The following is a 16,752-nucleotide window of genomic DNA, read 5'->3' on the forward strand; positions in this document are numbered from 1 at the left end:
GTGGTTTTGAGCTGAGGTTGAAGGATGAAAAAGGGCCTAAAGTAGGGCAGAGGGAGGTCAATAAACAAATCTGCTTGATGGTTATTATAAAATTAAGATATATTAGTAAAGATATGGCAAGGAAATTCTTGCCTTCCAGGCATTAAAACTTATTGCAACAGTATTTCTCCCAATTACTCTTGCTTTCTGTAAAGCTGGGGACAAAAAAAAAACCCAGTAATGATCTTACATTTAAAGAAGCCACCAGGAAAAGGTGTTAGCCAACAGCTCTCAAAAGATCTGGGAAACGATCAGTCAAAACTGGTCCCACTACCCTGAGCCCCACTACCCTGAGCCCCACAGCCCAGGCAATATAGGAAAAATATTCAAACAGATGTGAAAGCTTGGCCCTACAGAGAGTGCAATGTTTCTGGAGAGCTTTATCTTCCAAACCCCGTAAGCAGAGAGTAGTAGCTCCTCCTTAGGAGCCTACTGGAGAATGATTCAGAAGCAAACTCTGGGAGGGAGCTCCCAGGAGGAGTAACAGAGACCTGGTTCCCTGGCTATGTACTTGCTGAACTGTTGAACCCATGGGGACTAGGGCAAAGCTCTGCTGGTAGGGCTGCCTATAAGGAGGGGACTGTTAACAGCAACAGAAAGGTTCATAGGAGGCTAAACACTACCCACTGGCCAAAGAAACACACCACACATATGGTCTACATATAGACCATCATGGAGGAACAGGCAAGAGCAGCCAATTGCCCCTCCCTACCACCAAGAAGTCAGTCTTAGAGGCAATCAATGGTTCTGTAAGCTTATAGTTTGTAGATGTTCAGAGATAACACACACACACACACACACACACACACACACATACACACACAGACCCATAATCCACTCTGCTACAACTCTCTAGCACCACAGGTGCCACAGACAGGTCTAGCTGGAGTTTAGGGTAGAGAGAATGAGCTCCAAACTGAGACCGAAGTTTAAACATAAATACAGCGAGTCTTCAAAACCAAAGTGAGACTGTTCTAATGGCCAAAAGTGACCAGAAAGTTATAGCAAAGGACCAAGATGTCATTAAGGAATCCTCTCTAGATAGACATGGAGTTCAACATAGAGACGTTGAGGGCAGTTCTGGGAAAAAATAAAGCTGTCTCATGTTTACAGGTCAAATAGTTCAGACTCCTTAAAAATGACTTAAAACCACAAATTGATTATAATGAAAACAATGACGATATTGCAACACAAGTAAATAAATGGAACAGAACAGATATCCAGAGACAGACTCAAGTATATATGGAATTTAACATACGGCAAATGAGGAATTTCAATTTAGTGGGCAAAAAAATAATCTCTTATTAAATAAATGGTGCTGATATAATGGATTTCACTCTGGAAAGACAAAAAACAAAGCTAGATACCTTTCTCATATTTTATATAAACATATATTCCATATAAAGATTTTAATGTAAAGGATAAAAATTAAAAATATTAGGAATATAATTCAGAATACTTATATGACTTTAGAGTGAGGGAGATAATCCTTAGCAATCAGGAAGTCAAGTATCTATTAAAGAAAAAGACACACTTGACTAAATAAAAATCTTAAGAAATTATTATGGCAAATGAAATAATAAACAAAAGCAAAAGATAAATAAATGCTAGTCTAGGAAATATATGTAGTACTATATTACAAATATTGATATCCTTCATGTGTGAAATGCTCATAAAAAACAAATAATCCACTAGAAAAGTAAGCATAGGACATGACTGGGACATTTCACAGAAGAAAAACTCTAAATGACCAATAAGCTTATGAAAAGAGGCTCAATTTTACTTTTGGTCAAGGGAAATGCAAATTAATGCAAGAGCAATCAACCTGTTTTTACTTATCACTTTGGCAGAAATGTTAAGATTGATAAAAATTTAAAATATCCGGTCCTGATGAGTATATAGGCAAACAGGCATTGTCAAACGTAAGAGTGAGAATCATGACAAACTTTTTGGAAGGTAATATGGCAATACTTATTATAACATACAGGTTTTTTGAGCCAGAAATTTCACTTTGGGGATCTTATCACCCAATATAGCATTAAGAGCATCAGTTTATAAGAATATGTAAACAAGGATGTTTTTCAAGGCATAGCATTTAATAGAGAAAAAAACTGGAAACCACATGAAAGTCCATAGATAAACAAGAGATGAAAGACTAAATTCCAGTACTCCCAAACTAAAAAACTTTATGCAGCTGTTAAATAAAAATAAATCAGATGTTTATCTAAAATAATGTTGAGTAAATAAGCAAAGTGCAAAACAATAATTTTAGAAGGCACGCACAGTCATCCAAAGCTTTATATGGTTGGAACAAAGTGTGGAAGGGCACTCACTGAACTGTTAACATCAGTTAGCTCTGGGGAATGGAAAGGAGGGCAGGGCCAGGAATAAATAGGTTTGTAAGGAATAAGAAGAGAACCATGAATGAAATGACAATTTGTTGGGCATTCTATGAATAGACTGTGTGGGAAGGAATAAAGAGATACTTGATAAAACCAGCAAAAATTTAAAAATAGAAAAAAGTAAATAGTAGGCACCAATGAAAAGGATAAAAACAACATAGTACTTACCCCAATAAATGTAAAAGGGTTGAACTCATCTATCAAAAGAAAAAAATAAATAGTAGATACCAACGGAAAAGATAACAACACAGCAGTTATCTCAATAAATATAAAAGGGTTAAACTCTCCTATTGAAAGAAAGAGATTTTTCATGCTGGATTTAAAAACTCAGGTAGGTATATTGTTCTCTGGAAACATCTAAAACCAAGTAACCATAAATCAACAAAAGTGATCTTATTCACAATCTCCATAAATATTATAAAATATTTCTTAACATGCCTAATAAGTAATGTGTAAGATCTTATGATAAAAGCTATAAAATTTTACTGAGGACATTAAAAATACCTAAATAAGTGGAGAAATGTTTCATTTTCTTAGATGAGAAGATGATCTATTATAAAGATGCCAATTCTTCCTAAACTAATGCAGTGTAATTGAGTGTAATTCAAATCAATATTCCAACAGGAGTTTTTAATGAAACCTGATTCTAAAGTACACTCAGAGAAATAAAAAATAGATTAGCTAAGAAAAAACAGGACAAAAATCAAGCGGGCTTTATTCTACTCTACATCAACATAACTGTTTCCATAGGAAAAGAGTTTAGTGAAAAGAATCTTTATTTCATATTGGCAGTATTAAAGCCACACTTTGTTATACTGTAAATCTCCTAAATGCCCATCAAACTGGTTTACTACATTAAGGTAAATCAAAAGACGAGAGCACTACACAGTAAAAATAATGATGCACATGAATATTCACTGGCACTGAAAAGATACTCTTAATATACTGTAATATAGTTTTGAAAAATCCACTGAACAATTTCACATATCTTAAGTATAGCATTAAGGTCCAAGTTGATGATTAGATAGCTGAAGCCAGAGAATGTAGCCAGAGGTTGGAAAGAACAGAGTGACAGGAGGATGTGAGAAGCTTTGTTTTGCGTACCAGAGCATTATGTGAGGAAAGGAGTGGGATGGTATACAGGTCACCACTGAGAAAGCAGTTATTGAGTATCCCTGGAAAGTTAGAAAGGTACCCCCAAGATCTTTATTTTAATAGTTCATTTAAAAACCTAGCATCTATAAATGTACTGGAACTTTCAGAAACTATTATACTGGATGAACAAGTGCTATAATTTTTAAATGTAAGCAAAATTATTCAGTCAAATAATGTCTTATTAATTGAAAACTTTTCTACATTGAAATAAAGTAGCATTTCCTTAATTTGTGGTTGTATTTTAGAATTTTAAAAACAATTCCATGTTCTCCTAAATTATAATTAAACATACATATGCATATCTGTTCTATATCTGCATCTATTGGCATTGTAGATCTGTGAAGCTCTATATTTCTAGATAAAGAAATTTTATTTCTGTTATTCATATATTCACATATGGATGTGATCCTTTGGTTATTAGAGTTTGCCTTCTTGAGATCTTCTCCGCTTTTATTACATCTTTGCTATCACACAGCAACTAGAAATTAAAAAATTTACAAGGATAAATTATTTAGGGAAAACAAACTCCTTTCCCCATCCTCCAATCTAGGAAAGAGAAGCTCAACATTGTGTTTTGAAAGGTTGTGATGACTGCAAATACACACACACACACACACACACACACACACATGCACACACACACATGAGAAAGTAAAGCATCTTTCTCTTGCAGGATCTTAAGGTGGATTAAACTGGTGAATCCCTGAAAATCAGAGGGTGGGGGGTGGAGATGAGTGCTATAACTAGAAGTAAAACTAGGAGGAGAGATTAGGAATTCCTGAATCTAATGTTTAAGGGTCAGGGGTTTGAGGAATTTCTGTGCATGGTAGAGAGGAAGATCAAGTACACATGGAAGAGCTATGCATAACAGTGGTTAAGAGTACAAGCTCTGGAGTCATTTTACTGAGGTTCACATCTCAGTTTCACCAAGAATTGAGACAATAATAATGCCTAGCATTACTTTGAGGATTAAGTGATATAATCTTTGTAATAAGAATATAGAGAAAGTAGCACTATTATAGAATCAGAAAGTAAATCATAAGAGGGTCACAATATGATACATGAGGTTTCTCTATTCTCCCAGCTGGGAGGAAGTTTAATAAATGTAATAAATAATTGCCAAATGAAAAAACAATTACATCTGCTTCTTCCATAAGAAGCAAAATAGAGAGAGTTGGATGACAGAAAATCCAGACCACTCTATAATGTAAAGGGAATTCTTTCACATAAGATATGATACTTATGTTAATCCTAAAGGCTACATATGATTAGAAAGAGAGAGAAAGAGAATGAGAATGAGAAGAAAAACACAGGAAGCTACAGACGTGGCTGTTCATAGTCTGTACAAATGTGAAACATGTAGTACATTCCTAATTCTGTCACTCATTAATCAAGCACTTTTTGGTAAGTTATGTAATTCTAATGGGCCTAAATTTATTTCCCTGTGATATGCAGTTTTGTGAATATTATAGTTATAGTGTTATTCTATGTTTCTGTCATTTTCACAGTCCTCTCTAGTTTAGATTCTAAGGGGAACTACAATATATATTTCACACACTAGATGGCAATATATGGCTTTGTAAGTGGATGTCTTTTTCACAGAAGCCTAAGACGTCTAATAATCAAATAAGAGCTGATTTTTCTCCAGAAAACACAGAGAGAAGGGTAGACATTAACCAATTCTTCATACTGAGGTCATGTTTTAATCCCTTTGATTTGACCCACAGATGTTAAAGGATCTTGTGGGGACATTCTAGTTTAAGTCTTTAGTGCCAGAGAGAATTATTTCATAACAATGAATTAAACACAAAATGATTTCCATGGGGGTCCAATTCTGAATTGAGTCAGCTCAATATAACATCCAAAGACCCTCATCCTCAGTCAAATATACCAAGTCAATTATTCTTAAACTTTTTCATCATAAAGAGCCTACATATGGCACAATACTCCTCCACTAAAAAAAAAGGAAAGAAGATCTATTTCTTTTCAGCATGATACATTTTTTTAAAACAGTGTCAACGTTATCTTTCTTTTTTTTTTTTTTTTTTTTTGAGAGGGAGTCTCGCTCTGTCACCAGGCTGGAGTGCAGTGGCGTGATCTTGGCTCACTGCAACCTCCGCCTCCCAGGTTCAAGCGATTCTCCTGCCTCAGCCTCCTGAGTAGCTGGGACTACAGGCGCACTCCACCACACCCAGCTAATTTTTGTATTTTTGGTAGAGATGGGTTTCATCATGTTGGCCAGGATGGTCTCGATCTCTTGACCTCGTGATCCGCCCACCTCAGACTCCCAAAGTGTTGGGATTACAGGCAGAAGCCACCGCGCCCGGCCAATATCATTTTTTATAATAAGAGTAAACTATTCTTATTTTTAAAGTTATGATTATTCAAAAAATCGTAAAGAAGAAAATGAAAATCATATCTGAGCAATAGCCAATGTTAATGTTTGTCAAATTATTTCTGATTCATGAAAAAATATATAAATACATACTTTAATCTTCTTTCCAAGTTAAAAATATTTATAAATATTTCTGTTAATAAATATATTATTATATTAGTGGTCACTACCATTCTATTTTTCATGGGTATATATTTACAAAATGTACACAGGAAGTGTTCTGAGAACACATACCTTAACTGAAAAGTCTGGTCTTGCCCCACAACACTATTTTTCACAAAATTGACAGAATTGGTCCCATTTAAAGATGAGTAATGATTAACAAGAGACATATGCAGAGAAAAGGAGAAAGACAACAGAACAGAAAAGAACAGAACCTAAGAAATGAGCTGATGAAAAATACATATCAGAAAAATTTTGCCAGGAAGCAAATTAGTTCAACAAACACTCGGGCATTAGTTCAGTAACAGTAAAAGAATACAGGACCTCTTTGAAACAATACCTCAAGGAAGGGGCCAAAAGGAACTCTTGAAAATTACATGGATGACATGGAGAAAAGGCTAGAAAAAAAGTAATGCAAAGATCAAAGTTGAAAGTGAGTTAAAAGAAAACAGAAGCTTTGAGAGGGAGATACTTTAAGCTTTTGTAGATACTCTGAGATCATAATAAATGAAACAAATAAATCTTCCAATAAGTATTAGAAGGAAACTTACCTAAATAAGAGAAGAGCTGAATGTTCAAGGCAAAAGTGGACAACATAGCCCATGAAAAATGAACACAAAACTAGTAACAATAAGATATATACTTATGAAATTACTGGGCTCAAAGATAAAAAATATAAAAGAGATGGCTCTAAAGTAAAATATCCCTGAAAGGTTTAGAGGAAAAAGCATACACCAGAAAAAAGAAAATAAAAGAGAGAACATTTCATTTATAAAAGTTTATTTGAAAGCAAAATAAAATTAAAATGAAACTAAAGAGAGAACTTTTTAAGTCAAAGGATATAATTTTAATGAGGGTCTAGTACAAATCAAATAAAATCATAAAGCAAAAATTGCCACAAAAAAACCCAGGAAAGACAGAAAGAAAAGTAATAATAGTAGGTGAGTTAAGTTATCTTTCTCAGCCAAACACAGCTCAAGTGCACACACAAAATATAAGATGTAAAAAGAGCTAAATAAAATTATTAATTAGCAAGCCCTTAAACACATTTAGGAGACAGTCTATGACACGGTGTTGCTTTAGATGTCACTAATACAAATATTGAGAAATACTTTCAAAATGTAATGTTAAAGGATCTCTCTTGATATACAAAACTATGCAGTTTTTAAATATTGGAGTATGTAATTTACAGCACAAATGAATGTCCTGACTGATGGCTACACTGTATTTTTATAAAATGTTATAGTATGTTATTAAAACAATCTCAAAATCAATCCAATTATTGCCAACCTCCATGGCAATAAATTATCCTACTTTAAATGTCATTGGCAACAAACTAGAAGTAGATTCATGAAGAGATCATTCAAATTAGTCTCCCACTTTGCCTACAGGCATCTAATAAATATTCCAATTTCTTCTATATTATTATCACACACTGTACTAGAAAATAAGCTATATTATTTCTGCATAGTAGAAATGATACTCAAGGAAAAAAATGCTTTCAAAATTTAACAGCAGCTATACCCTTCCTCAGAAAACAATTTCTTCTATAGTTCTAAATCTAAGATCTATAAAACATATTTATTACCAGTTTTCTTTCTATTAGTGGCATAAAAAGCCATTTCTCTATCAAAACCAAGGTCAATGTTAGCTGTGCAACAAAGTCAAAAGCTACAGGCATATCAATACCCACTGCCATCCCACAGCCCTGAAGCCTTGTCCACCACGACCAGACTCTGTTATAGCTCATGGGCTTCAGGAAAGATGAGGTACCCTCTACAATTCAATGACTTGACGGGCCAGGGTCAGTGAGCCATGATGAAAGCAGGAGAAAATAAGTGAAATCTGTGCAGATACTGACAAAACAGAGCCACAAAAAAGTAAGAACATGCCATATTTTGTTTTCTGTTCCTGCATTAATTTGCTAAGGATGAGGGCCTCCAGCTCCATCATGACCTTTTATCTGGAATCCAGGTAATAGGGAAATCTATAGGGACAGATAGTAGATTAATGATTGCTTAGGGCTGGGGGCAGGGATGGGGATGGAGGGATGGGGGTGATAGCTAAAGGGGACAGAATTTCTTTTTGAGGTGATAAAAAATTCCAAAATTTACTAATTACAGACATTGATAATGGTTGCCTATATCAGTTATTATACTAAAAACCACTGAATTGTACATTTTAGATAGGTGAATTGTATGGTATGTGACTTATAATCTTAAAGCTATTTTTTTGTGTGTGTCGTTGTTGTTTTGTTTTGTTTTAAGAGGTGTGTCTTAGGGGTTGAGGAAGAAGTCAGGGAAGAGGTGAGCCAAGAGGTCCCAAGCAGGGAAGAGCATAAGACAGAGACTCAAGAGTAATCCAAGATGAGATGTCGCATGGGTTCATATAATCAATATACGCAAAGCAAAGGTGCAAATGTGAGGAAAAGAGATACAAATTGTTTGGACAGGCTGATGCTTTATGACAGCAGTTCTCAACCCTGGCTGCACAGTAGCATTACTTGTTTACAAGGCGAGTCACTTTTTGAAGATACATTCGTTGCTCTGTTCCAGAAACAAGTAGATTTGCTAAGGCACGGTATTAATAATAATTCTCACAGTGCGGCTTTGAACTGAATCTTCAGCATCACCTAGAAACTTGTAAAAAATGCAAATTGTCCATGCATACCTCGATACAACCAGAAACTCAGACTGTGGCCCAGTAATCTGTGTTTTAACAAGTCTTCCAGGTGATTCAGATGCAGGCATAAAAACAAACCAAAACAATGGCAACAAAAATCCACTAGAGACAGGGTGAACATTCTGCACCCAGACCCTTGATGTGAACATAATATGGTGTACCCTTCTAGTTCTTTTTGTCAGGCTTGGGAATAGCTATTACCAAGCAATTTTTCTAAGAAACTTTTGTTTTAACCTTTGTTAAGGAAAGCAAAACCCAGGTTTTAGCTATATTGTTCACAGACCTGAAAAGGAACTGAAACAGATGTTTTAGATATTTAAGGTTTTAACAGGAAAGTATTCCAATTTAAAAACCAAGATGTCACTTTTTTTTTTTTGTAACAGCAAAGTTGTGAGAAATCGGAAGTTCTCTCAAAGATTTAATATTTCAATTCTAGGGCATATAGATATTAGATTGGACTTCCCAGACACACTGGATGAAGGAGAGAGACAGCAGCTGGAGTACCAAAAAGGATGTCAATTCACATTCCTGGCATGATTCAGGACACCCTTCTTACCTGGTAAATAGAAATTCATACAGAGCAACATACTATTTGAAAATAAGTAAGTTGATAAAAAGTAAATGAATCAAAATGAACATATAGAACTAATTAAGTTAATGAAAGTCAAAGGAATATGTAAATACAATTTTCAGATCTGAACTTAAGCATAAACAACTAGTATTTTAAAAAATAAGGTCTACTGCAAAACAAGCAATGGGGAAAAGACTCCCTATTTAATAAGTGGTGTTGGGACAACTGGCTAGCCAGATGAACAAGATTGACACATGTTCACCTACGTAACAAACCTTCACATGTACCTCCAAACCTAAAATAAAAGCTAAAAAAATAAAAAATAAAAAATAAAGATTATATCATAGTATTCTAGCACCTTGACAAAAAAAGAATAAACAAACAAGTCTGAATAGATTCCTTTAAGAAATGGAATCTGTAATTTAAAATTTTACCACAAAGAAAACTCTAGGCCTAAATGGTTTTACCAGTGAATTCTTCTAAACATTTAGGAAAGAAATAACACCAAACTTGTATTAAAATGCTTCCCCTGAACAGAAACAGGAAAAATTTCCCAAATAATTCTATGAGGCCTACATACCTCCATGTCCAACAACTGGAGAAATTAATACAAGAAAAAATACTACAGCTCAATCACTCTCATGGACATGAATGCAAAAATCCTAAACAACATATTAGCAAGCCAAATTCAGATTTACATAAAAAGCATTAAAAAATAAGGTCCATTGTCAATATAGAGTTTTTCTTTCTTTCTTCATACAAATCCATATTTAATGAAAATAGAATATGAATAGAATAAGAAAAAAGTCTATTATGGGATTCTATTAATGAGAATTTTACAGAGAATGTGAAGAAGTAATACGGACCAGTGAAGTTTTTCCTTAGGTCTTTTGGAAACACATTCATTCAGTTGGTCAGTTGGTCATTCACTCAATTCGCAAATATTAAAGAACACCTATGCAGTAAACACTCATTGTTCTTGATTACTCAGCACACAAGTTCTCTTCATGGCAGTACCTATATTTATTTTGAGGTGTTACTTTGTCCCATTGATTACATGCAATGCAATAGGATTATAATCCAAGATGCTGCAATTCCCTAGCCATGAGGTGGGAATAAGACCCATGTCAGGTCAATAGGATGCTCTCTTGAAATTTAAGTCTTGGGCAGAGGCACAATGATACTGATGGGGCACATCTTTTCTAAAGGTCATATTCTCACCAGATTGTTGCCAGCTAGGGCTTTTTATATAATTCTTGTTCCACGGGGTTGGGGAATTAAAAACAGGGCACTTCAGTCAGAAGTTTCAAGGTTTCAATTATGCAAGGTAAGTAAATCCTGGAGATCCCCTGTATAGCCTAGCAACTATAGTTAATAATATCATATTGTATACTTAAAAAATTGTTAAAATAGTACATCTAATATGTTGTATATTCTTTTTTTTTTTTTTTTTTTTGGTTTGTTTTTTTTTTTTGACACAAGGTCTTGCTCTGTCACCCAGGCTAGAGGGCAGTGGCACAGTCAGGGCCTACTGCAGCCTTGACTTCCCAGGCTTAGGCAATTCCCCGCCTCAGCCTTTTGAGTAACTGGGATTACAGGAACATACCACTATGCTTTGCTACTTTATTTTTTTTTGTAGAGATGAGGTCTTGCTATATTTCCCAGGCTGACCTCGAACACCTGGGCTCAAGCAACCCTCCTGCCTCACCCTCCCAAAGTGCTGGGATTATAGGCATGAGCTACCACACCTGGCCTATGTTAAGCATTCTTATTACAAAAGAAAAAAATAACAAATAAAGGGGAAAAAGCTTTTGGAGGTGATGTGGATATGTTTATGGCATAGACTGTGGTAATGGTTTTAAGAATGTATACTTATCTCCAAATTCATCACACTGTATACAGTATGTACAGCTTTTCATATGTCAATCATACTCAAAGTGATTTAATAAAAGAGGACTCATGCAAGGGCTAAAAGATGAGACCACATGCTCTCTAAGACTCCCTTCAATTCTGAGTTTCTATGATTAAAATGAACACCGTCAGCTAGGATTGTAGTATCAGTAAGGAAAACTGGCCTGATGAAACAAAAGCTAACTGAGCAAGTGCAACTTCTTGGAGAAATGTATCCTCCCTGCCCCAGTACTTAATACCTTTATTCCCTTTTTGTTTCTCATATCTGAATTCCTTCCTACTACTTAGTACAGGAATTTTAGCTTTCAGACTCCTCACATGTGCCTTTTGCTGACATTACTTCCCTGTTCACCTCTGGATCTCAGAGTTGACTTAGAATAAACCCAAAGTCTCCTGTTGTTCACATGTATACTAGAAATTCTAATTTGGCCACTGGCTTACTATCTTCTCCTTCCCACTATCCCCAGCATTTCTGGCAGTAAGAGTGCAAATTCTACCACTGCCATCCCACCTGCACTGAGTTACATCTCATCTGTGCTGAGTCAAAGTGGCAGGAAAAAGATGTCTGTGGATTTATCACAAGTTTCTGGTGGCAGTGCACCAGGAACCCTCAGGAATCACGAAGAAAATCTTAGGTATCTACCTAAGAAAATCTTAGCTATCCACCTCCCCTACTCCCACCTCTGAGAGTAAATAGCTGCTGTCAACTAGGAAAGATATAAGCATGTAAATGACATTTCTAAATTGGCTATTTGTAGTTTAGAGTCTACTTTGGGGAAAGATAGGAAATCAAACCCTCTGCACATACTTTCCCCACCACATGTTTTATATCAAAAAGAAATTAAACAAAGGTTACTATCTAAGGTAAAGTGAATAATGCTAAACCAACTGCAGTATCCAAAGGCTTAGAAAGGATAAAAATTTTCTTTGACTTTTAGTTCCTTTATTAAAATTTGGCTCTTCTGGCATAATTTCAGCTTCTTCAGCAAAATTTACTCATCCCCTCTCACCCATCCCTTGTCATGCCTCTCGTTCACAAAAGAGCTAGCTAGACAATTGCCTCAGACAGAAGTAAACACAATTAGAGAGCAACCCAGAGAACAAGAACATAGGAAAGGAGGCAATCCAAGCAAGTACTTGTACATAAAAATCTTTTCTCAAAAATGGCCACAAAAACTGCTCTTCCTTTAGGCAAAATCATTTCATATCCATCAAAAATACTGACGTGTTGAAGACATGGGCAATAAGAAAAGTGTTCAACTTTTAACCAGCTTTAAAAACATTCTATGGGTTTCACCTTGGCCTAGATTAATATCATGACGACGGCCGTAAGTATCAGTTTTTAAGACAGGCAAATCAATAGAGTCTATCACTTGTCCTTTGCGAAGAGAGTTAAACCAAATTCATGCTTTGTCAAAAGAAATCCCATTCCCTGAGGCAGGTAAATGGCAAAAGCAGACTCACAGGTGGTGATGTCACCTTGAAGCTGCAGAATCTCAGGAACTGGCATTGTGAGAACAATAAGATCAAACTGCTCAGGGGAGCCTGTTTGTTTGGATACTTCCCATTTGTCATCTCTTAGGTTGATCTGTGTCACACGATGTCTGAAGTAGACTTCTGCACCTGTTCCAAAAGCAAAATCATGTCCCCATTATCAGAATTGCATATATGAATAAAGGGGATGTGAGTAGTCACAAACTGAATCCATTCAAGTGAACAAAATGGCCAAGACTGTCTTCTACTGTCCTCCAGCTCTCTTCCTTTACTTTCTTTCTAATTTAGTGGGAATTCATCCCTACCTGGCATCCTTGGACTTCCCTATCAGTGCCTGCTCTGAATCAAAAACTACTCCTACAATTAGTGATAAAAATAAAAATAATAACTATAGCTACTTTTCATTAAGCAGCTACTATATGCCAGCTGCTTGGTACACATTATACTAATTTATCTCACAGACAAGGAAATAGATTGAGAAATAGCATGCCATGATTTAAAACTATAACCATCTGACTCTAAAGCTCATCATTTTTGCAGAACAAGTATACACTTCAGTAAACATGTGTGTTAGCAATGAAATAAGAAGAGCAATATTCTCTATTAAAGGAATTAATATTTCCCATTAAAGGACCTGAAAAAGGTTCTCTGTAAGGGAAATGCAAGTTCTCATCAATAGATCAATTGTCTTCATTAAGAAGAATCAGAATTTAGAAACATACTCTAGAGTACCCTCCCATAACATTTTCCTTCTTAGCACTTAACACAAGGATATTTTAATAATTATTTCTTTAATATTGTCTTCCCTTTTAATCTGTAAGGCCCATGAGCTACAAATTATACCTGTTTTATTTCTATGTATAGCATATAGTATACATAGCATAGAATTTATTAGTTAAGTATTTATTTAAAATAATGAATTATGAGGCCAGGCACGGTGGCTCACACCTGTAATCCCAGCACTTTGGGAGGCTGAAGTGGGTGGATCACTTGAGGTCAGGAGTTTGAGACCAGCCTGGCCAACATGGTGAAACCCCATCTCTACTAAAAATACAAAAACTAGCTGGGTATGGTAGTGCATGCCTGCAATCCCAGCTACTAAGCAGGCTAAGACACGAGAATCGCTTGAACTCGGGAGGCAGAGGTTGCAGTGAGCTGAAATCGCACCACTACCCTCCAGCCTAGGCAACATAACAAATAAAAAGAATGAATTATGAACCATAAACTGAAAGAAAGTACAATTGGGTCATTAAGTCTCCTTAGTAAACTAGTACTCACCTTCCAGTTTTCAAAAAATTTTGATTTACAAGCAAATCTACTTTTATTCAGCTTTGTGTATAGAAAAAGAAAGAAATGAAGATGGAATGAGGGAGGAAAAAAGCACACTGAAAGATCCTGTTCATCTTTACCTGGGAAATCTCACGTTCCTAGTCACTAAAAATCCAGCTAAAGTTCATCCCAAAGCTTCCTTTCTGTAGCCACTCCAGCTCAGTGTGATCCTTCCTCTCTATGATATTCTTCAACCATCACTGCCTTTAGTACTAATTTTGACATTGATTCAAAATATCTGCATGCTTTAGTTGTATCTTATCTATGTAATAATACTCAAGGCTCCTTCATGTCGGGTCTTCAGATCTCATACACTTTCATCTCTTTCATTGACCCTTAAATAATGCTACACCCTAGTAAGCACTCCAGTTTTTAAAAAATCAAATGTAAATGTTAGAAGAAACATAGTTCTAGCTAGCCCAAGAGATCAATCTCTGTTCAAGACAGTGTGCATCATTCTGTTCAAAGATTAGAGCAAGGGGCTTGTAAACAGTACTCCATCTTGCCTGAGGGCTTTTCTAAGGCCCCTGCTTGGGGAAGGTGCAAATAATTTGCACTTTCAACACATATCCACCATCTCCTTTATTCCAACAAGGGCAGCTCTGCTTCACTCTGTTTTTATTTATTTAGGATGCCTCACCCTACTTGCCTCACTTAGTCCATGGCCCTGTCCCAGACCTCAGCTAAGTTAACTGATTCTACGTTTTCTCATAATATTCCTTTGAAGAGAACAATATGCTGTTATTGTTGGTGGTATGAGTGTGTGTTTAAGGGGACTTAAGTTCACAGTCCTAGAAAATTCTTCATGCCCCAGATGAACGCCTTGAAAATGTATCCCAATGGCCACAAGGTGTTCTGCAAAGTATATATATATATATATATATATATATATATATATACACACACACACACACACACATATTATATATATATACTATATATATATGTGTGTGTATATATATATATATATATACACATATATATACACCAAGGTGTATATGTATATGTGTGTGTGTGTGTGTATATATATATATGTCAGTGGTTCTCTAAGTATGAACCCCAGACCAGCAGCACCTATGTACTAGAAAATGCACATTCCTGGGCCCCAACCCGACCATACTGAATAAGAAACTCTGGGAATTGAGCCTCGCAATCCATGTTTAACAAGCTCCCTTAGTCTTGTCATGATGCGCGCTAAAGTATGAGAACCACTGGGGTAGGTGGACACGCCCAAATCAAACACCACTGGCAAAACCACCCAAAAAGCAGCATTTATCAAGAGGTAGGAGAAATGGTATAGCCTCTCTTATTAACCAGAAAGGCTTCCTTTCCAACTGCTTGGAGCAAAGTTTTTGGGAAAGTGGCATTTCCTTGTGAAAGTAATTAATAACTTTCACAAAGACTATGTGTTTAAATCTATAAGCTCTGAAAAACCCAATTTTAAAATGGATAAATAAATAGTCTCAAGAGTTATGTCTGAGCTTAGTAAATTTGACCATGTCCCTCTCTTGCATAAAACCCTTCAATGGCTTCCCATCGCACTTAGAGTATAAAATCTTTAACATTGCTTACAAAGCCCTGTATAACCTGGCCCTGCCTTAGTCTTGAGCATCATCTTTTACCATTTTCTCCCTCACTCACTACCGTCCAGTCATAATGATCTTTTATTCCTTGAATGCACTAACCTCCTCCTACTGCTTCAAAACAGTTCCAATTTGATGTGTCCACTGCATTGAACTCTCATCATTCAGCTCTCAGCCTAATTCCCTCTTGCCCACCTTTCAGGTACCCATGAAAATATCAGTTCCTCAGGGATGCTTTCCCTAACACATCTCCCCCATCACTCCTCTAAAACCTACTGGGCTAGGTCCTTTTATTGTAAGTTCTCTCATAATGCTCTCACTCTTTCTTCTTAACATTTATCATGCATCTTTTCTTTGTATGTATAATTAGTTTAATGTCTTTTCTTCCCACTATACTCTACATTAACAGAGGCCAGGATCATGTCTCTTATTGACTTTTGTTTCCCCAGCACATAATATTTAATTAGAATAAAATGATCTTCAGATAGCTATAAAGATATCAGAAGTCTAAGAAGGTTTAAACATTTTACAAAGGCAAATGTGTTTCTGTTATATATTTATTCAATTTTATCCCTGGCCTTCCTCCATTTTAAGGAGAAAATCCAAGTTTATGTTTCTCCTATGATTTCCCACAAATAGGTTTTAGTGAGCAGCAGTCAGAACTGCTCAGGTGGGACCTGAAGTGATGTGAACCATCTCTAACTGACTACACAGCTTGAAGTAAATAGAAGAATGCTTAACCTGGTTTTCATGCCATCCTCTAGCTTCTCTAAAAAGGACATCGTTACGGATGAGTGCCAGGATCACCTGCTGGGAGAAATTTTGAGACAGAACCACCCAGACTCACTTCCCCTCTATCAATTTTAGAAAGAAAATAGGCACAAAAGTAAAAAGAGAGAGAATAATAAAAGTAAATATTACAATACAGAAGCCATCCTAGCTAATGGCATCTGCCACCTAAACCATTTTTTTCTAATAAATTGATCTTGTCAATTTTGACAGGTTACTTTGCAAATGTTGACTTTCTGG

The 16,752-nt window shown here is 35.8% G+C and overlaps 1 protein-coding gene across 14 annotated transcripts in view; it reads right to left on the reverse strand.

Moving 5' to 3' along the window:
- Nucleotides 1–16,752, reverse strand: part of RNLS (renalase, FAD dependent amine oxidase) — a 411,796-nt gene that overhangs the window by 388,599 nt on the left and 6,445 nt on the right. For all 14 annotated transcript variants that reach the window (XR_001747122.3, XM_017016382.3, XM_011539924.4 and 11 more), the window contains one exon: nucleotides 12,782–12,940. Coding sequence is in view for 13 of the 14 variants with exons in the window: in XM_017016382.3 (XP_016871871.1) it covers nucleotides 12,782–12,940 (159 nt within the window). In the remaining variant the exon portion in view is untranslated. The remainder of the gene's footprint in view (nucleotides 1–12,781; nucleotides 12,941–16,752) is intronic.

This window comes from Homo sapiens, chromosome 10 (assembly GCF_000001405.40).
Source record: "Homo sapiens chromosome 10, GRCh38.p14 Primary Assembly".
Classification (NCBI taxonomy): Eukaryota; Metazoa; Chordata; class Mammalia; order Primates; family Hominidae; genus Homo; species Homo sapiens.